Here is a 19,225-nt window from a genome sequence, read left to right as displayed (position 1 = left end):
TCTTTTTCTATCCCTTTACTTTCAGTATATGTGTGTCTTCATAGGTGAAGTGAGTGCTTTGTAGGCAACATATAGTTGGGTCTTTTTTTTTTTAATTCACTCAGCCACTCTATGTTTTTTAATTGGAAAATTTAATCCATTCATATTCAAAGTATTTTGAATTCTTTGTTGAGCAATTTATACATCTCCATCTTTTTAGAGTCAGTCACTGGTGCTTTATTTTGTCCCTTTGGTGATGCATATTTCTTTTCTTTTCTTTTTTTTTTTTTTGGAGATGGAGTCTCACTCTGTCGCCCAGGCTGCAGTGCAGTGGTATGATCTCGGCTCACTGCAACTTCTGCTTCCTGAGTTCAAGCGATTCTCCTACTTCAGGCTCCTGAGTAGCGGGACTACAGGCATGCACCACCATACCCGGCTAATTTTTGTATATTTTAGTAGAGATGGGGTTTCACCATATTGGCCAGGCTGGTCTTGAACTCCTGTCCTCAAGTGATCCACAGTCCTCGGCCTCCAAAAGTGCTGGAATTACAGGCGTGAGCCACTGCACCCAGCTGGTGATGCATATTTCTAATTGTTCTTGATTGTTCCATGCATTGGTGTGTGCATATTTGAAGAAGTAGCTACTTATTCCAGTCTTTGAAGACCTGATTATCTAAAAACACCCTTTATCTATCAGTCAGCCTGTACAGAAATTCTGGGCAGGCCGCCTGTTGTGGCCAATGGGTGAGCCTGCTGCTTAAGTCCTCAGGTTTGCTGGTCTAGTGACTGGATGAGCAGACGGGCAGGTCTGAAAGCTGGATCCACTAGGGTGGACCAGTTGATTGGATCTGCTGGGGTGGACCTAGAACCTGTGTCCCTTGTGGCAAACCTGAATCCCAGGTCTACAAGGGCTGACTTGCCACTGGAGTGGGTCTTGAGCCTGAGTCTGCAGGGACCAGCCAGGTACTGAGATGGGCCTGGAGTCTGTGTCCTCTGGAGCCTAAGTCTACAGGAGTAAACCTATGTCCTGAGTTCACAGAGGCTGGCTTGGAGGCCTGAATCTGCAACAGTATCACTGGATCCTCAGTCCACAGAGGCTGGCCTGGCTCCAGGGTCTGCTGGGGTGGCCTGGACCCCGAGTCCACTGGAGCCTGGGATTATACGTACTTACCAGGTACCTGGATCCTCGAGGGCTGGCCTGAAGCCTAGGTCTACAGGGGTTGGCCTGAAGGCTAAGGGTGTGTGTATGTGCTATTTTGGAGACTAGGTCTTTAAGGTCTAAGGGTGTTGACCTGGTGCCTGAGGCTAGACGTGCTAACTTGGCCCTGGGGTGGGCCTGAAGCCTGGAGCTGCAGAGGCAGGCCTAGGATCTTGGGCTACCAGGGTCAGCCTAACCCTGGGGTGTGTCTGGAGACTGAGTCTGTAGGGCCTGACCTAGTGCTTGGGTAAGCTTGAAGGCCTGTGCCACTGGTGCTGGCCTGGTGCTGGAGTAGGCTCAGAGGCCAGAGACTGAGTCCCTGCTCTGGAACCTGGGGATGCAGGATCCAGCCTGGGGCCAGGGACGCTTGAAGGCTTAGACCTCATGTACTGGCTTAGTGTCTGGGGATATTGGGGCCTTCCTGGTGCTGGGTTTGACTGGGGTGGGCCCAGTGTTAGGGTCCAAGGCAAAGTCCAGTGCTCACTTCTCTCTTCTTTCTCCAAGTGGAAAGTATCTCTCTCTGCTGTGCTGCTTGAGGTTGAAGAAAGGGTGATGTAGGCAAATGTAAAACTGTCCTTCCTACCATCTTCGATGCCCCTCTTCCTTTTTGGGTGTTTTTTTTTTTTTTTTTTTTTTTTTTTTTTTTTTTTTTTTTTTTTTTTTTTTTTGCCAGTGTCTGGCTCTTTCACCCAGGCTGGAATACAGTGGTGCAATCCTGGCATCTTGACTCACCACAACCTCTGCCCTCCCAGGCTCAAGCCATCCTCCCACTTCAGCCTTTTGAGTAGCTGGAACTACAGGTGCACACCACCACACCTAGATAATTTTTGTATATTTTTTGTAGACATGGGGTCTCCTGAACTCAACCAATCCACCTGCCTCAGCCTTCTGAAGTGCTCAGATTACAGGCATGAGCCACCAAGCGCAGCCAATGCCGCTCTTCTTATTTCTTTGCTATACCCAGGTGCTGTGGTCTCTCATCTGGTTTCCTTACTTCTTTTTTTTTTTTTTTGAGGCAGAATTTCGCTCTTGTTGCCCAGGCGGGAGTACAATGGTGCAATCTCGGCTCACTGCAACCTCCGCCTCCTGGGTTCAAGCGATTCTCCTGCCTCAGCCTCCCGTGTAGCTGGGATTACAGACACGTGCCACCCACACTGCCTAATTTTGTATTTTTAGTAGAGACGGGGTTTCTCCATGTTGATCAGGCTGGTCTCAAACTCCCGACCTCAGGTGATTCTTCCTGCCTTAGCCTCCCAAAGTGCTGGTATTACAGGCGTGAGCCACCGTGTCTGGACCAGGATTCTCCATTTCCTATCCCCCTTTAGATACATCAATTTGAACTACTATTCACAAATGAAAATATTTTTCACGGTGGCTCATGACTGTAATCCCAGCACTTTGGGAGGCTGAGGCAGGAGGAATCACCTGAGGTTGGGAGTTTGAGACCAGCCTGGCCAACATGGTGAAACACTACCTCTATTAAAAATACAAAAAATTAGCTGGGCGTGGTGGCAGGTGCCTATAGTCCCAGCTACTTGGGAGGCTGAGTCAGAAGAATTACTTGAACCCGGGAGGTGGAGGTTGCAGTGAGCCAAGATCGCACCATTGTACTCAAGCCTGGGTGACAGAGCAAGACTCTGTCTCAAAAATAAATAAATAAATAAATAAATAAAATAAAAAGAAAAGAAAGAAATGGAGAATCCTTTTCTGTCATCTTGTTCTATCCCTAAGGTGGACAATTTTTTATCACTTTGGAGTCCTGTCTGACGGGAGAAAGTGAACAATGGAGGAGGGTTGTTTTCCATTACCCTCATATCCTAATGCTTCTGGTGGCCTATTTGGCCTTCAGACCCTTCTGGCCAGCCTGACCTCACCTCCCTGTCTCCCATATGCCCCAGCAAGCTTGGTACCTTTTCCTAAAGGTGCTTGATCTGTCTTTGTTCTTTTTGCCTTGCCCAGAAAAGTCCCTTGCTCTAGCTGAGCCCCATGGACCAGGGATGCTGCAGAGAATAAAACAAATTATCTGTCCTCAAGATGCTCACATTCCAGCAGAAACACCTAGACTAAATAAAATAATTATTTGGTGGGGATGGGTAGTGATACATACTGTTGAGAAAAATAACGCATAGAAAGAGGTTAGGGAGAGATGCAAGTGGTTCAGAAGGTCTCTCAGTATGTGGCATTTGAGCAGAAATTTCAAGAGAGTCAAGGAGTGACTAGATAAAATATCTGAGGGAAGAGGGCTCCAGGGAAAGAGAAGAGCAGAAGAAAAGGCCAACAAGAAATGCAAAACAGACAGTATGGTTGAAACTGAGTGAGAGGACCTGGTGCTAGCCTTTGGATTGACAGTGAGTGAAAAGGAAGGTTTTGAGCTGTGTGATAAGATCTTTCCTGCTTTTCAAGGATCCCCTTGGCTGGTTATGGTGGCTCATGCCTGTAATCCCAACTCATGCCTGTAATCCCAAATCTTTGGGAGCTCAAGGAGGGAGGATCACTTGTGCCAGGAGTTTGAGACCAGCCTGGACAACATAGTGGGAGACCATCTCTACAAAAGATTTAAAGAATTTGCTGGGCATGTTGGCATGCACCTGTCGTCTTAGCTACTTGGGGGTTGAGATGGGAGGATTGCTTGAGCTAGGACTTCAAGGATGCAGTGAGCTGTGATCGTGCCACTGCATTCCAGCCTCAGTGATGGAACAAGATACTGTCTCAAGAAAGAAAAACAAAAAGGATCCTCTGGCTGCGTGTGGAGGGTAGAATATAGAACACAAGAGTAAGGCAGAGAGAACAGTTGAGAGGTGCTGCAAGCCACGTTGGTGGACTGGATGGCAACAGGCCGCGTGGCAAGCAAGATTTGAATTCTGGGTATATTTTGCAGGTAGAGTTAATAGGATTTGTTGATGTGCAAGAAGTAAATGAGCCACAAAAAGGATTTTTTGACCTGAGCAATAGAAGGAAAAAACTCATCATTTACTGACAAAGGGAAGGCTAAGGGGAGGCAGATTATGGAGGAGGGAGAGTTCAGTTTTAGACCTTCCAGTTTGAGATACCTAATAGATGTGTCAAGTAAGCAGTTAGGAACGATCCTCTGGAGTCCAGGGGAGAGGTGATGCTTTGTGATCAAGTCCTGTCCATTTAGTTTTCAAGGTAAAGCATCTTTCATTATGGTCTGTCCTAGGGGAAAAAGCATGGTGTGGTTAGCCTCTGCATGAGTACCCAGAAAGTCTAAATATAGGCCAAAGGCTAGAAATAAGTATAGGCTTGAAGCCCAAGGCCCTAATCTAGTGGATCACAGTCTCTGCTCAGGGCTCCAAATGGGATGTTTAGTCACAAGCTGTTTTAGGTGCTCCTGGAGAGAGTGAACTGAAGACTAACAATGAGGAAAGGGGAGACAGAGAATTCTTTAGTTCCCACCATGTTTCCCAGTTCTGACTGGTGGGAGGCTTCATTTCTAACCAGCTGAATGAGCAGTGTGAGGAGGGTAAGATCTACCAGGTCCTGGTGGGTGGAAGCATGGAGAGAGAGCTAGGGCACAACTCAAAAATAGTCTGGTGAGTGGACTAAACAGGAGGGGAATGCAACAGGAATAGAACTAGAAGAAATGTCTTCAAATTGTTGGTGGCTCACCAACTCTTCTGTATTAGAAGCTTAATGCTGGAAGATGGCTGAAGAGAAATGGTTGTTTCATTTTTTAGCCCAAATGCCAAACTTTTTAGGTACAGAAGGAGGAAATGAGATGAGGCAAGGAAAAGGGGAGAAGATGAAGGAGAGAAAGAGGGGGCAAAATTATGCAATGAGAGAGTCAGAGGCGAGCAGGAGGAAGGGGCAGTTAGAAGTAAAACAGAAGGAACAACATTATAGCACCCAGGCTGTTCATGCTGAGGGGCACCTGCAGGTCAGTGCTGGTCTGCCCTCAGCCCTCACCTCGGCCTCCCTCCTGTGCTCATTGGCGCCCAAAGTCCAGAGGGGGCCGAGGCAGCAGGGGGCTGGCATGTCAGCGCTGCCCGAGTGTGCGCACACCCGGCCGGGTTGCAGTAGCGCCGGCCTTGGCCTCAACTTTGCTCTGAGATGAGAGTGGGCACTGGGAGCAGGGAGCAGCCAGGCACTGGGAGCAGACATTTCAGAGCCCGTGGAGCAGGCACCAGGAGCGGGGAGAGACCAGGCAGCAGAACCAGGCATTTCTGAGCCTCCGCGGGCAGCGGGGTCCTTCCCAGCCCCTGGAGAGTGAAGAGATGCCTGGGTCTGCAGCCACAGCTTGAGCCGCAGTAGCTGTGCCTGGGAGGGCGGGCTCCTGGCTGCTCCTGGCCCCCAAGAGCACAGGGAGGCCTTGGTCGGCAGCCACAGCCGGGCGGCAGAGGCTGCACCCGTGAGCGCGAAGGTCCCACCCTATCAACTCAGGAGGGGGCGGGGCTTCTGCCTGTTCCTGGCTCCACTCGCTTCATGGAGCGCTGCAGCCAGCATCACGGCAGTGGCCACCCTAGACGGGCTGCTGCTGCCATCAGCACAACCACAGCGAGGGTGGGCAGCTGCTGCTTCAGCACCAGGAGCAACATGTCGCTCCGCTGCCGGCGTCGCGGGCTCCGCCGCGTCAAGCACCCCTGCAGACGCTGAATTTACCACGGCGAGTCTCTTGGCGGCTGGCTTCCTCCTCCTTCATGTCGTCTGCCCTCCGGCCCGGAGCCAAAGCTAACAGGACCAACCCAGGCAGCTGGGCCAGCCAGGAGCAAGGGCAACCGCATCTCTTGTATACCACCCCACCCTACCTGGGCCACATGGCATCACAGAGCGCCCAGGTCAGCCGCACTAGGGCATGATCAGACTCAGGGTAGAGGCACCACCCTTCAGTTGTCAGGGGCTCAGGGGAAACGGAATTGCACTCCCAGCAATGATGACTAGTTGGAGGATGAAGACACCAGTCACTGAGAGGATGAGGGCTGAGAAAGAGGGAGGTTCATGCAAATACCTGGAGCTGGGCTGGGCTGAGGGTGTCTGTGGGTCTCGTGGAATTTGGGGTACAAAGTCCTGAAGGAGTGTTCCTTTTCCCACTGGGAATACATCTCAGGATTTGAGGGCAGTGGGTTGACTCAACTTCTGTAGCAATTTGGCTCATTCCTCCTTGGATCTGGAGAGTGGAAAGTAGTTTTTCTCTTTGGAGAGAAGATACTAAAAGTTCAGAGGGTACAGCAATATTAGATTTGGCTGTGCCAAAGCAGGAGATAAGAAGAGCGCTATGGTGCCATGCATAGTCCAGGAAAAATAAATGTTATGAAGATAAATATGTCCTCCACATGGACCCTTTTATGTGTATAAAAGAATTGGCAGTTTCAGCAGTCTGTAAACTGTAAAGCTCAACAGTGACAAAAATACAAATAGCTCACATTTAATCTTAGCCTTTGTAATGGGATGCTAAGATGGAATTCAAGGTCTCAGACTGCAATGAGGTCACTAAAGGCAGAGAACCAATGTTTACAGAGAACCCCTCCTTAAAATGTTAGCACTCCCTTGCAGCACTTACAAAGGAAGGGGCTGGTGACTGTTTTTGAGAGAGTTGGCTCATTCCTTACCTAGATGATATAAGAAATTAAAGAGAGGCTGAGAGATTTATTTGGAGACGGTTATTGAAGAGCTGGGCATTGGCAGTAATTTCATTTTATTATTTTAAACAAGATCAAACCAAGAGAACCAAAAATGTTCTTGGGTCTCAAAGTGAGACCCAACATTCTAAGAGTAACCAAGAATTACAAGACCTTTCATTCCCTTGGATGAAACCACAAGGATTTTGCAGATATCTATTAAGGGACCATGAGGAAAGGATAAAGTTTGTTCTCGATGGAGTCCTGCTCTTTTGATGTGAAAGTTACACTTTCATTAATGAGTAAAGTAGCTGGAAAAGTTACACATTCATTAATGAGTAAAGTAGCTGGGACATCTTCCTTCCTACCTTACACTAGTCAGACAAGTATGTTGAGTCACTGATACCACAAATCAAAAGGAATATGCACAGGACACACTGGGCTCATCCTAAGGGTGTTCATGTTTGCACACCATGTCATTTGAGATATTTAGGCTGCAGAGGAGAAGGCTGGGCTAGTCAACAATCATCGTATACCAATAACAAACACACAAACAAGTCCCTGAGATGATTTCAGAAAGTAAGTGCCATGAAGAAGATACAATAGGGCACAGTGAGGTAGAGCATGACTGAGGAAAGGGAGCTTTCTGAATGAGGGATTTTATAGCTGAGTGGGTGATCTTATAGCCGAGATTTACAAGATGAGAAGGGAGCAAACAGATGAACAGCTGGGTGGTGGGCTGGGGGATGGGGTGGGGGCTGAGGGGAGAATTGAGTGCTCCAGAGACAAAAGAACTCCCTCTAGGATACTTGGCACACTTGAGAAATAGCAAAAAGGTGGGAGGACAAAGTGGGAAAAGTTGGGGGATGATGCCAGAGAAGAAGCCAAGGGCCCAATTAAGTAGGTCCTTGAGGCCATGATAAGGATTTTGGATTGCACCACTCACAGATTTTAAGCAAAAGATTTGATCTTTGAGGAAATTTTCCCTGCTTTGTGAGAGTACAAGTTAAAGTAGGAGGCAGATCCATTAGGAAGATGTAGCCACAGACCAGGTGAGAGATGATAGTGGTATGGTAGGCTTAAAAATAGTCCCAGAAAAGATATCTGTGTCCTAATCCCCAAAACTTGTGGAGATTACTTTATTTTATTTTAGATGGAGTCTTGCTCTGTCACTCGGGCTGGTGTGCAGTGGTGCAATTTCGGTTCACTGCAACCTCCTCCTCCTGGGTTCAAGCAATTCTTCTGCCTCAGCCTCCCGAGTAGCTGGGATTATAGGCCCATGCCACCATGCCCAGCTAATTTTTTTTGTATTTTTAGTAGAGACAGGGTTTCACCATGTTGGGCAGGCACATCTCAAACTCCTGACCTCAAGTGATCCACCCGCCTTGGCCTCCCAAAGTGCTGGGATTACAGGCGTGAGCCACCGTGTGCAGCCGATTACTTTATATGGCAAATACTTTACAGAAGAAATTGTCTTAGGATACTGAGATGGAGAGATTATTTGGATTATAAGGATGGACTCTAAATGCATTCACAAGCATCCTTGTAAGAGAGAAGCAGAGGGAGATTTGACACAGAAGGAGGCAATGTGACCTCAGAGACAGAGATTGGAGTGACGTGGCCACAAGTCAGAGAATGCTGGCCACCATTAGAAGCTAGAAGAAGCAAGGAAAGGATTCTCCCCTAGAGCCCTTACAATGGCCTGTGGCCCTGCTGATGCCTTGGCCTCCAGAACTGTGAGAAAATAAATTTGAGTAAAGGGAGCAAGTTTGTGGCTGAAAACAACACACAACACAATTTGTTACAACAATTACAGAAAATTAATACCAGTGGCTTGGAGTAGGGTTTTAGCAGTTGAGAGGGTCAGAAGTGATTGGATTTAAGATAAATTTTTGGAGACAGGACCAACAAGATTTGCTGATGTATATGGTTTAGGTATCATAAAAGGCAAAGAATCAAGGCTGATTCCCTTTTTTCTGAACAAGTGGGTGGATGATGACATAGTTTACTGGCATGGGGGAGGGTACAGGCGTTATTGTTATATGTTTGCCATATTTATGTTGGAGAAAATATCAGCTATCATGTGTCAGCGCTCTCTACATGCCAGGCACTGTCCTACATTCTTTACACGTGTTAGCTCAGTTAACACATGTAAGTCAAGCGGGCAGTAAGATATATGACTGGAGTTGAAAGAGGGCTAGGCTAGGAGCCATCAGTGTATTTAAAGCCATGGAACTAATTAGATCACCCAGGAGAACATATGCAGACGAGAGAAGATCTGGTTCAAGGCCTGAGCCAGGGCACACTTCATCTTTTGGCAGAACAGAGGGAATGGATCCAAAAAAAGGATAGAAGGAGCCAGTGAGGAGGGTGGAAAACCTGGAGCATATGAAGTCACAGAAGTAAAACTGGGGCCCAAAATGTAGAGGGAGCCATAAAGATGAGGAGGACGAGAGCTACATAGTCGCGCTCTTTCTAGGGCAGAGAGGCGGACGGAACTGACAGCTGCTATGTAGCAATATGACCGTCTCAAGTGACCTTGTGAAGCGCCACTGCAGTGGCTGGGTGGGGAGGAAAGCTCCATCAGAGCCATTTGAAGAGAAGAGGATGGGAAGTGAGCGTACACAGAGAATGCAGGCAACTTTTAGGAGGAATTCTGATGGTAATAGAAGTGGGCTGTAGCTGGTGGGACTCTGCGGTCCACAGAGGGCTCTAGCTGGACCCTCTGTGGGTCTTTCAAAGTGACTGATTCTGCATCATGTTTGCGGGTGGCAACTGTGAGGGGGAAATCGAAGGTGAATACAAAACGGGAACAAGTGAAGAGGCAACGTCCCCATACAGGCCGGGTGGGCTGGGGTTGGAGCACAGGAGGCCTGACCCTGTCTCTTCCACTTTCCCTCAAACCTTTGGTCACCAAGCGCAGACGCTCACCACAGAAGCCACCCAACCACAACTGCCGCGGGGCTCCGCGACACGCGCGGGCGACTTGAGTCGGGCAACCACGATTCCCGGCGGGCGTTGCGCGGGGCACCCAGTGCGCAGGCGCACGGCGTCGGCCTCCGACTCGCCCCTCCCTCTGGGGCGCGGGCCTCAGTTCCGGGCTACAGCAGCCGACGCCGAGAGGCACCGTTTCTTCTTAAAAGAGAAACGCTGCGCGCGCGAGGTGGGCCCCTGTCTTCCAGCAGCTCCGGGCCTGCTCGCTAGGCCCGGGAGGCGCAGGCGCAGGCGCAGTGGGGGTGAGGGCGCGTGGGGGCGCACAGGTAAGGCCGGGGTGGGGGTGGGTCGCGACGGGGGCTCTGGGCAGCCTGGGAACTGCCATTGGGATTAGTCCGCTCCACTCACTGTCAGCATTAAGTGGGGGTGCCCAAGACGGGGTGGATGGGGGGCGCCCTCCAGACCTCTGACCACGGCCTCACCGCCACTCGACCCAACTATGAAGAGCGCCCCCAGCTGCACGCCAGGACACGACCTTTCCTTCCCCTAGAAACCAGTAAAGGCCGCTGCCCTATTCAAGATGAAATGTGTGGACCGCCCCCAGCCCAGTTGAAATTTCCCGTGAAAGTCTCTCGCCCCTTCCCCACAGCTCCACTTCAGTGGACTGGAGGGCGCAGGCCTTTGTTCTGACTGCTTCTGTCTGCCTGCCTCCCACCCGACGACACTCACATGGTAGCGCTGAGCTTCAACACCCTGTATCATAGAAGGACGGGGTTTGGCTCCACACCTGCCACTGCTATTGAAATAGTTTAGTCTTGCCCCAGTTCACTGATGAGGAAACTGAGGCCCTAACGGCAGGTGGAGCCGGGTCCCCGACCCCCGAGATCGGCAGGGCGCTGAAGACGTCCCTTCCACCCTCCAGCCTCTGGTGCACATGGCTTCCTCCCCGGCGGTGGACGTGTCCTGCAGGCGGCGGGAGAAGCGGCGGCAGCTGGACGCGCGCCGCAGCAAGTGCCGCATCCGCCTGGGCGGCCACATGGAGCAGTGGTGCCTCCTCAAGGAGCGGCTGGGCTTCTCCCTGCACTCGCAGCTCGCCAAGTTCCTGTTGGACCGGTTAGGGGCCGGGAGAAGGGCTTGGGGGAGGGTACCCAGGCAGCAGCCCCTAGCCTCCTCTCCAGGGCCTGTCCTGCTGCTCTTTTCCACCCTCAGGTTTCTCACTTTACCAGGACGGCCTGTGTGACTTGTGGCCTCCGAGGGTCCTGCTCCCCTCCTCATGGTCTCAGCGAATAGCGGCCCTTAGGGCTGGCCCCTTACATGTGTGAGTGCCCAGGGCTGAGGGTGGCTGGCCACCTGAGTCCTGACCTGCCTCTTCTCCTGCTGGCAGGTACACTTCTTCAGGCTGTGTCCTCTGTGCAGGTAGGTAGGGGATGGCAGGGGGTGAGAGCCAGAGGGAAGAGGGACCACAGGGTGACCCAGAAACACCCTCCTTTCAAAGGGAGCCCTGAGTAAGTTTGGGAAGGGTGGGGTGAGTTGGGGAGCACAGGGTAGTTTGATGGAGGCAACCTCTGGGTGGGGAAGGGAGCAATGTCTCAGGATCTAGTGTGTCTAGGTTCTGAAGAATGATAAATTGGACTGGGGCTGAGGTTGCCCTGGGGTTTGAGGGAACAGGGCTCCCTGGGTATGGCTCTCCAGGGTAAGAGGAGGAGACTTCCCAGTTCAGCCTGACTGCTTCCCCCACCCCTCCAGGTCCTGAGCCTTTGCCTCCAAAAGGTCTGCAGTATCTGGTGCTCTTGTCTCATGCCCACAGCCGAGAGTGCAGCCTGGTGCCCGGGCTTCGGGGGCCTGGCGGCCAAGATGGGGGGCTTGTGTGGGAGTGCTCAGCAGGCCATACCTTCTCCTGGGGACCCTCTTTGAGCCCTACACCTTCAGAGGCACCCAAGCCAGCCTCCCTTCCACATACTACTCGGAGAAGTTGGTGTTCCGAGGCCACGAGTGGGCAGGAGCTTGCAGGTAGGCTGGAAAAAAGCAGAGTTATGGAGAAAAGGGAGGAAAAACGTTTCCCATTTTCTGTAGCTCAGAACCCTGTTCTCTAAAAATGATCCTTTTTCAATGGAAAAACTCTATCTTGACAAATATATCATCAAATACACTGTTGGGCATGAAAAGCAAAACAAAATACAGTGTATGGTATGCTATCATTGGTGAAAAATACAAATAAGGGGAAAGTGAATGTGTGTGTGTGTATGTGTAAGTACTTGCGAATGTATGACATATCTCTGGAAGGCACATAGAAAACCAGGTTGCCTATGGGAAGAAGTAGGCGATGGGGGACAGTATTGGAAAGGAGATTTTTGACTGTATAGTTTTGTGAACTATGTGAATATCATCTCTGAAACAGAACAACTCCTCCTACTCAGATAGCCTCTGCTCCCTCCTCCTCCTTCTTAAAAGTCTCTGCCTGGGTGCAGTGGTTCACACCTATAATCCTAGCACTCTGGGAGGCTGAGGCAAGAGGATTGCTTGAGCCCAGGGGTTTGAGACCAGCCTGGGCAACATAGTGAGACCCCGTCTCTATTTAAAAAAAAAAGAGGAGTCTCCCATCACTTCAGACCTTAGAACTTTATGTGTCCTCATCCCTTGAGTCCAGAGTTCCTTCTCTTTTGACTTTGCCTGTCCCACAGATTTGGAATCTGAGCATGATGAGAGGACTCAAGAGGCCAGGTTGCCCAGGTGAGGATGTGGATAGGAGAGAAAAGGCGGAATTGCATAGGTGGGAGGATGAGGGAGCAGGACCTCAGGCTTGCCTTCTTTGGGCCTGCAGGAGGGTGGGACCCCCACCAGAGACCTTCCCACCTCCAGGAGAGGAAGAGGGTGAGGAAGAAGAGGACAATGATGAGGATGAAGAGGAGATGCTCAGTGATGCCAGCTTATGGACCTACAGCTCCTCCCCAGATGAGCAAGTTGGGGTTGAGGGAGAATGAGCAGAGCAAGAGAGGGAGGCAGCTGGCCTGGCAGTTCATGGCTTTGCAGACTAGAGGGAAGGGCTTGTTAGTGTGGAGGGAAGGGTGGGTTTTGGGGAAGGCAAAAAGAACTAGAGGCTTTGAACTGAGGGGGTGAAAAGGGGTGAAGTCAGGTGCAGGGAGATTGAGGGCTGAAAGCAGATATGAATGGGGAGCCTAGGGTGGGGGTAGGGTTGTTTCAAGTTTGAGATCTTTTCAGTTTAGGGGCTAGGGTCGGGCAGGGGATGGCTGACTGCCCAGAAAGTTAATGCCATCTTCCTCTTTGTTCTCCTTTCAGTAGTGAGCCTGATGCCCCCAGACTACTGCCTTCCCCTGTCACCTGCACACCTAAAGAGGGGGAGACACCACCAGCCCCTGCAGCACTCTCCAGTCCTCTTGCTGTGCCGGCCTTGTCAGCATCCTCATTGAGTTCCAGAGCTCCTCCACCTGCAGAAGTCAGGGTGCAGCCACAGCTCAGCAGGACCCCTCAAGCGGCCCAGCAGACTGAGGCCCTGGCCAGGTAACCTGATGGCTGAGACAGAAAGGGCAGGGGCGTCCTGGGATGTGGCCCTCCCTCGAGGCCCTCTGCTCCCTCTTTGCTGCCCGTAGCACTGGGAGTCAGGCCCAGTCTGCTCCAACCCCGGCCTGGGATGAGGACACTGCACAAATTGGCCCCAAGAGAATTAGGTAGGACTTAGGGAGATGGGGTTCTGGGGAGGGCCGAGAGGAGGGAGGCAGAGAAGGGCAGGCAGGAGTCATGCTGCTCCTTTCCATTCTTCTCCTCAGGAAAGCTGCCAAAAGAGAGCTGATGCCTTGTGACTTCCCTGGCTGTGGAAGGATCTTCTCCAACCGGCAGTATTTGAATGTGAGGGGCACAGGTTGGGGCCTGTGTGGCTGCTGGGGTGGGGGAAAGGGCTAAAAGAAAAACTGAGGAAAAGGATCTTAAGGCATGGGAGGATTCAGAACCAGGAAGCAGAGGGTACCTGACATGTATAAAGTCTTTTGGTCCTCACAATATCCCCATAGATTAGGTGCTGCTATTATTCCCACTTTGCAGACAGAAAGGTTAGGCATTGCTCAAGGCTCTTCAGCTAGTGTGTGTTAGTGCTAGGGTTCTGAGCCTGGTGGCCTGGCTTCAGAGTCCATGCCTGGGCTGCCACATATCCTGGCTTGAGAGGGTAGTTCTAGAGTGAAACGGGCTGGGAGATGGTCCTGTCCCCAATCTCATTGCCTGAGAAATTTGAGGCACAGAAGGCAAGGGGTCCAATCCCTACAGTCAACCAGAGCACTTGGCACAGCAGGTACCAAGGCTGGGGAGGGCCACAGACACTGGGATGGTGAGGTGAGGGTAGACAGACAGGGGAGAATGCCGCCCACAGAAGATGACAGAGAGGAATCAAGTGAAAAGGGAAAATGACCCGGGATGACAGGGAAGCTCTAGGCTGAGAAGAGCATTCGGCAGGGCATGTCAGACATTCTGGAGTCTGCTGTGGAGAAGATCAAAGCAGCCCCTGGAAGTTTAACTGTGGAAAAATGGGATTCTAAAGAAGGGGACAGCCCATGCAATTTAGTGAGCCAGGATGCCAACTTAGGTCAGTGAAAAGAGAAATACTTTGATATTTAGGAGTTAAGGTTGAAGAGCCTGTTACCCTTAATAGTGTTCTAGGTTGAGAGTGTGTGTGTGTGTGTTTCCAAAGCAGATTTAGAAGAAAATCATATATATACCCATGGTGAACTATTAAAAAGCAAGCAGTTGGGGAGATACTGTTGTACGTGAATACTGACATCAAGTAGGATGATCATACTTACCCAAACTGCTTTCCCCTCTGCAGCAGATAGTGCATTCATGATTAGGTGAACCAGGGGTGTCACCCAGAGTGATACTTTGTACAGGGAACATTGCAGGACATTGCAGGGTGAGAGTGTGACAAGGAGGTGAGATAATGGAAGTAAAGCACAGAATTGGGTGACAGGAGAGTTGAGTGGTCAGGATGGGATGGGTGTGGTACTCATGGTGTAGGTGAGGACTGAGCCTCAAGGAAACGAGCAGGCCATGACAGGGAGAACTGCTGGGGCACAGGGGCCAGGAAGGGGACAGAGGAGCATGCCTGCCGGGTCAGCTCAGTTCATCTCTCCGTGGAAGGTGGCTATCCTTTTGCCTCTTCTCTCCCTACCACCCACTTCCTTCTCTAGCACCACAAAAAGTACCAGCACATCCACCAGAAGTCTTTCTCCTGCCCAGAGCCAGCCTGTGGGAAGTCTTTCAACTTTAAGAAACACCTGAAGGAGCACATGAAGCTGCACAGTGGTGAGTGGTGGAACTCCACCTTCCTCTGTGGGACCTTTTACCTTCCTTTGTGGGTCCCGTCACCCTGGGCTCTGTGGGTTTCTTCACCTCCCCCTCTACGGGGTCCTGTCACCTCCCGCTCTGTGGGTTTCTTCACCTCCCTCCGAGGGATGACTCTCCCTCATCCTGTATGCCCTGTGTGTTGAGCACCTGCTTGTTTTAAACTGTTTTGGGTACTGGGTACAGCAATGAACAGAGCAGGCAGCGCTAACCCTCTTGAGACATCCACTTTAGTGATACAGGGCTATGAAGAAATGTGGAAGCAAGGGAAAGGAGGAGAGCATAAGGAGGAGTTGCTATTGTAGAAAGAGAAGATGCTTTGAGCAAAGACTTAAGTGAGGAATGGAAACCTGTACCTTACAGACTATGGACAGCGCGTGTGGAAGGGCCCTTAGGTGGTATCTGGGTGACATGTTCCAGGAATAGGGAAGAGGCCAGGAGCTGAGAAAGGAAGAGAAGTCACATAGTTGATGGAGGCCTCTGAGACCATCCACAGGACAGTTTGACATCTGCTTTAAGTGAGATGGGTGCCATCGCAGAGTCTTGAATGGCAGAGGGACATGGCTTTTTAAAAGATCATTGTGGCTGCTGTGTGAACAGGGGGACCTCAGATGAGCAGAACCAGGCACTCAACTGTGAGATGACTGCAGAGATGTGCAAGAGGGCAAGGTGGTGCCTGGATTTGCTGGTAGCAGCTGAGTCAGTGAGGAATGGATGGAGGCCAGTGTGTGTGCAGATGGAGCCAAACGAGCTGCCGTGGGAAGGATGGGTTGGCTGCAGTCGAGTGGGAAGGGAGGAGTTGGGTAACTTGGAGGATTCCAGCCTCAGCAACTGGGCAGAAGGTGATGTGATTTTTCTGAAAACAAGGGAGAAATGGGCTTGGGAAGGGAAATTTGATTTGAGACATGCTAATTAAACATCCAGGAGATGTGAATGTGGAGATCAGGGGAGATGTCAGGCAAAAATATAAATATAAATGTGTGGGTCATGAGCATATGGGTGGTGTTTAGAGCCATGAGGCCAGAGTGTCCCTACATAGAGGAAGTGAGTGTCATGGCACTCTAGCCATCAGAGGGCAGGTCAGGTGAGTAGTGAGGAAGATGAAGAGAGTGGTATTTGAGGAACTGAGTATAGAAAATGCTCCAGGGAGGAAGGGGGGATGATTGCTAGTGCGACAGGCCAAATGTGAGCTGAGAATAGGAGACCAGATGTGGCAGTGGTGAAGCCACCAGATGACAAGATGGAACTGACAAGAGGGGCAGTGGAGCTGTGGGGATAGCCGGAACGGAGTGCATTCAAGGCAGAGTGGAGACAGCAAGTATGGACAACTCTGTTTTGCTGTGAAGATAGGCAGAGAAATGGAGTCCCAGCTGGAAGGCTGTGGGCTCAGGGCATGGAGATGGGAATGATTCCATAGAGAAAGGCTTGCTGCTGATGCTAGAGTGGGGTGGGGGACCTCAAGTGAGAAGGGGTTGGTCTTGAGGGGCACAGTGGAGGGCTGCCGGGGGAACAGTTTGAGCAGTTGTTTATATAGACACAGATGCAAGTTGAATAGTGGATTTGGTGGGCAGAAGATGTGGGTGTTGTAGTTTCTTGGCGACTTTAGAAACAAGAGCACTGCTGAATAAGGCTAGTAGGCTGGGGGTGTTGGAGGCTGGTGGAGAAAGGAGGTGGTGTGAAATGTCTTCTGTATTTCTAGAAAGTTGGAAAAGTGAACTGATGAGGGAAATGCAGACACAGTAGGGCAAGAAGGCGGCCTTAAGACTTGTGGTTTTAGATGAAAAGAGTGGCCAAGAGGCAGATTTTGCCCTTACAGTACACATGTGCAGGCCCGGAACAGACCAAAAGTTGTGTCTATCCTGAGTTGGGCTTTAACCAAGCAAGTACAGTTGACGGAGAGAGGGACAGGAAGATTGGTAGTGTGAATGAAAGAAGGCAACAAAGATGGCTGTGGAAATGTAGCTGAGCGGGGAAGGGGCTCAGAGGGAAGATGGTGGGGCCAGTGGACTGGCCTGGAATCATGGGATTATCATAGCAAGAGGACAAGATTGGAGGCCCTGGCATGAACCAGGATGTTTGAAATCACAATTTCTTTTTTTTCTCCTCCTAACCCACTGTATCTTAGAAGAAATAGCAATTTCTGAAGTGGTGCAGTGCATGGGTGTGACCTGAGACTGGTGGCTGAGGAGGGTGGGCGATGAGGTCAGTGAGGTGAGGGAACAGAGGGCTGGAGTGCTGATTGACAGCAGGAGTAGTGGCTGACAGGAGTAGAGGGGCTGAACCTAGAGTTGTGTGGATGGAGGGGGAGTGATGGGGCCAAAGGAGGAGGCTGCAGGTGTGTGTTTGTGTGGTCTGATGGTGCGGTCTTCAGAGAGGTGGGGATGTTAGAGGTGGTCTAAAGGGCACCATGAGAAGCAAAGACACCTTTTTTACTGTACACCCTGAGGTTTGGTGGGTTAGAGAAACCACAGCAGCCTGTGAGAGCTGCTGCCACACAGTGACCATGGGCAACAGGCAGGTGCTATTGGAACAAGCAGGGAGTGCAGGCTCAGGGAAAAAGAGGAGAGGGGACTGGCTGCCTGCAGACAGGTAGCTCCACAGGGCACCGATAGGGTTTGGGACAGGTGGGATATGCAAGCCTAAATAGGTGGTAGATGATTCCAGGTGCCAGGGTCTGTCCTTGGGCCTTGAGCTTCAATCCTAATTCCCATCGCTGACTCCAAGGTTCTGCTTGGCTGCTGCCCACTGCCTTCAATTCATACATAAGGACCCAGCTCTCCATTCCATGTGTCTCCTTTGAGAAAGAACCAGCCTAGAGGCTGAGGTGGGGTGGTGCACTTCCATCAGGAGTTCATTGGTTTGAGTGGGATTGGCGGGCAGGGGCTGGGGTGGACAATAATGAAGTCTTTTAGCTGGGTTCGTATCTTACTTGGTTGTCATGACCCATCAGGTAAGGGAGGTCCAGACGGGCTCCATGATTTGGATAACAACTAATTAGAACCTGAGCCTCCTGACCTCCAATACGGTGCACTCTGGTGAGGGACAGTGGGTGGGGTGGGCCAAGGAGGGGCCACAGGGTGGGGGCAGATGCTGGAGTGTCCCTCATATGCCTGCAGACACCCGGGACTACATCTGTGAGTTCTGCGCCCGGTCTTTCCGCACTAGCAGCAACCTTGTCATCCACAGACGTATCCACACTGGAGAAAAACCCCTGCAGTGAGTGCTGGGGTGGGGTCTGAGGGCCAGGGGCTAGAAGGGAGGAGGTGGAGTCTGGAAGCTAGGCATATAGGACACCTAGGCAGTGGGGAGCAGGAGGAACCCCCTAGGGAAGTCATGATGGCCTGAGGCCTTGTTCCTTCCCTCTTCTGTCCCTGACTCCAGGTGTGAGATATGCGGGTTTACCTGCCGCCAGAAGGCTTCCCTGAACTGGCACCAGCGCAAGCATGCAGAGACGGTGGCTGCCTTGCGCTTCCCCTGTGAATTCTGCGGCAAGCGCTTTGAGAAGCCAGACAGTGTTGCAGCCCACCGTAGCAAAAGTCACCCAGCCCTGCTTCTAGCCCCTCAAGAGTCACCCAGTGGTCCCCTAGAGCCCTGTCCCAGCATCTCTGCCCCTGGGCCTCTGGGATCCAGCGAGGGGTCCAGGCCCTCTGCATCTCCTCAGGCTCCAACCCTGCTTCCTCAGCAATGAGCTCTCCTCCAGCTTTGGCTTTGGGAAGCCAGACTCCAGGGACTGAAAAGGAGCAACAAGGAGAGGGTCTGCTTGAGAAATGCCAGATGCTTGGTCCCCAGGAACTAAGGCGACAGAGTGCAGGGTGGGGGCAAGACTGGGCTGTAGGGGAGCTGGACTACTTTAGTCTTCCTAAAGGACAAAATAAACAGTATTTTATGCAGGCATGTGTGGGCAGAGCAAGTGTTTTGGCACCTGAGGTGCAGAAATCCTGGATCCCTTTGAAACCATGTACCAGAATGCAGCTTAGGTGCAGGTCCTGTTTCTCTCTCTGCAGGCCCTCACCTCTGACCCTTTCCAGACTCACTTTGACAGTTTGCAGCCCTTTCCTGTGGAGTAAGACACACACCCTTACACTCAAATAGAGCAGGCGGGGATAATCTGGAGACTGCCGGGTCACTCCTGGCCGACTGGCTGGAGCAGAAATAGAGGCATATGATCCTGAGCCATCTTGTACTTGCCATTAAC

General features: G+C 51.2%; 1 protein-coding gene and 1 long non-coding RNA gene across 21 annotated transcripts, besides 7 other annotated features; one reads left to right on the top strand and one right to left on the bottom strand.

The window, feature by feature from the left end:
• Positions 1 to 4,131: 4,131 nt before the first annotated feature.
• Positions 4,132 to 9,764, bottom strand: ZNF692-DT (ZNF692 divergent transcript). Its single transcript, NR_186117.1, has 3 exons — positions 9,682 to 9,764; positions 6,141 to 6,299; positions 4,132 to 4,351 (listed from the first exon to the last, which is right to left on the bottom strand). It is a non-coding gene; the product is annotated as a ZNF692 divergent transcript (long non-coding RNA).
• Positions 5,158 to 5,297: an enhancer, noted in NCBI's record as "active region_2887". NCBI's record gives its function as "activates an Ori minimal core promoter by ATAC-STARR-seq in GM12878 lymphoblastoid cells {active_cell/tissue: GM12878}" and the evidence as "EXISTENCE:reporter gene assay evidence [ECO:0000049][PMID:35858748]".
• Positions 5,768 to 6,027: an enhancer, noted in NCBI's record as "active region_2886". NCBI's record gives its function as "activates an Ori minimal core promoter by ATAC-STARR-seq in GM12878 lymphoblastoid cells {active_cell/tissue: GM12878}" and the evidence as "EXISTENCE:reporter gene assay evidence [ECO:0000049][PMID:35858748]".
• Positions 9,359 to 9,508: an enhancer, noted in NCBI's record as "active region_2885". NCBI's record gives its function as "activates an Ori minimal core promoter by ATAC-STARR-seq in GM12878 lymphoblastoid cells {active_cell/tissue: GM12878}" and the evidence as "EXISTENCE:reporter gene assay evidence [ECO:0000049][PMID:35858748]".
• Positions 9,649 to 10,148: a silencer, noted in NCBI's record as "silent region_2051". NCBI's record gives its function as "represses an Ori minimal core promoter by ATAC-STARR-seq in GM12878 lymphoblastoid cells {active_cell/tissue: GM12878}" and the evidence as "EXISTENCE:reporter gene assay evidence [ECO:0000049][PMID:35858748]".
• On the top strand, positions 9,843 to 18,920 carry ZNF692 (zinc finger protein 692). 20 transcript variants are annotated; one of them, XM_017001698.2, is made up of 12 exons: positions 9,843 to 9,913; positions 10,607 to 10,797; positions 11,069 to 11,100; positions 11,431 to 11,694; positions 12,366 to 12,414; positions 12,506 to 12,640; positions 12,985 to 13,203; positions 13,293 to 13,370; positions 13,470 to 13,548; positions 14,877 to 14,991; positions 18,147 to 18,246; positions 18,412 to 18,920. In XM_017001698.2, the coding sequence occupies exons 2-12, from the start codon at positions 10,619 to 10,621 to the stop codon at positions 18,716 to 18,718; spliced, it is 1,557 nt and encodes a 518-aa protein (XP_016857187.1). In that variant the 5' UTR covers positions 9,843 to 9,913; positions 10,607 to 10,618; the 3' UTR covers positions 18,719 to 18,920. The 20 variants fall into 20 exon arrangements, with proteins under 20 accessions (XP_016857187.1, XP_011542524.1, XP_011542523.2 ...); XM_011544222.2 differs by having other exon boundaries at positions 12,982 to 13,203; XM_011544221.3 differs by having other exon boundaries at positions 9,843 to 10,010; positions 11,492 to 11,694.
• Positions 10,309 to 10,358: an enhancer, noted in NCBI's record as "active region_2884". NCBI's record gives its function as "activates an Ori minimal core promoter by ATAC-STARR-seq in GM12878 lymphoblastoid cells {active_cell/tissue: GM12878}" and the evidence as "EXISTENCE:reporter gene assay evidence [ECO:0000049][PMID:35858748]".
• Positions 10,959 to 11,038: an enhancer, noted in NCBI's record as "active region_2883". NCBI's record gives its function as "activates an Ori minimal core promoter by ATAC-STARR-seq in GM12878 lymphoblastoid cells {active_cell/tissue: GM12878}" and the evidence as "EXISTENCE:reporter gene assay evidence [ECO:0000049][PMID:35858748]".
• Positions 16,259 to 16,358: an enhancer, noted in NCBI's record as "active region_2882". NCBI's record gives its function as "activates an Ori minimal core promoter by ATAC-STARR-seq in GM12878 lymphoblastoid cells {active_cell/tissue: GM12878}" and the evidence as "EXISTENCE:reporter gene assay evidence [ECO:0000049][PMID:35858748]".
• Positions 18,921 to 19,225: the final 305 nt, after the last annotated feature.

The sequence above is a fragment of the Homo sapiens genome, chromosome 1 (assembly GCF_000001405.40).
Source record: "Homo sapiens chromosome 1, GRCh38.p14 Primary Assembly".
In the NCBI taxonomy this organism is placed as follows: domain Eukaryota; kingdom Metazoa; phylum Chordata; class Mammalia; order Primates; family Hominidae; genus Homo; species Homo sapiens.
This window is presented reverse-complemented; position numbering and strand designations above follow the sequence as displayed.

What these genes read in the sequence shown, in the direction of transcription:
- ZNF692 (NM_001136036.3), top strand. An exon ending in AGGCTGTGTCCTCTGTGCAG is followed by an intron (nt 11,101 to 11,430) that starts GTAGGTAGGGGA and finishes CCACCCCTCCAG; the next exon opens with GTCCTGAGCCTTTGCCTCCA. An exon ending in CAAGAGGCCAGGTTGCCCAG is followed by an intron (nt 12,415 to 12,505) that starts GTGAGGATGTGG and finishes TTGGGCCTGCAG; the next exon opens with GAGGGTGGGACCCCCACCAG.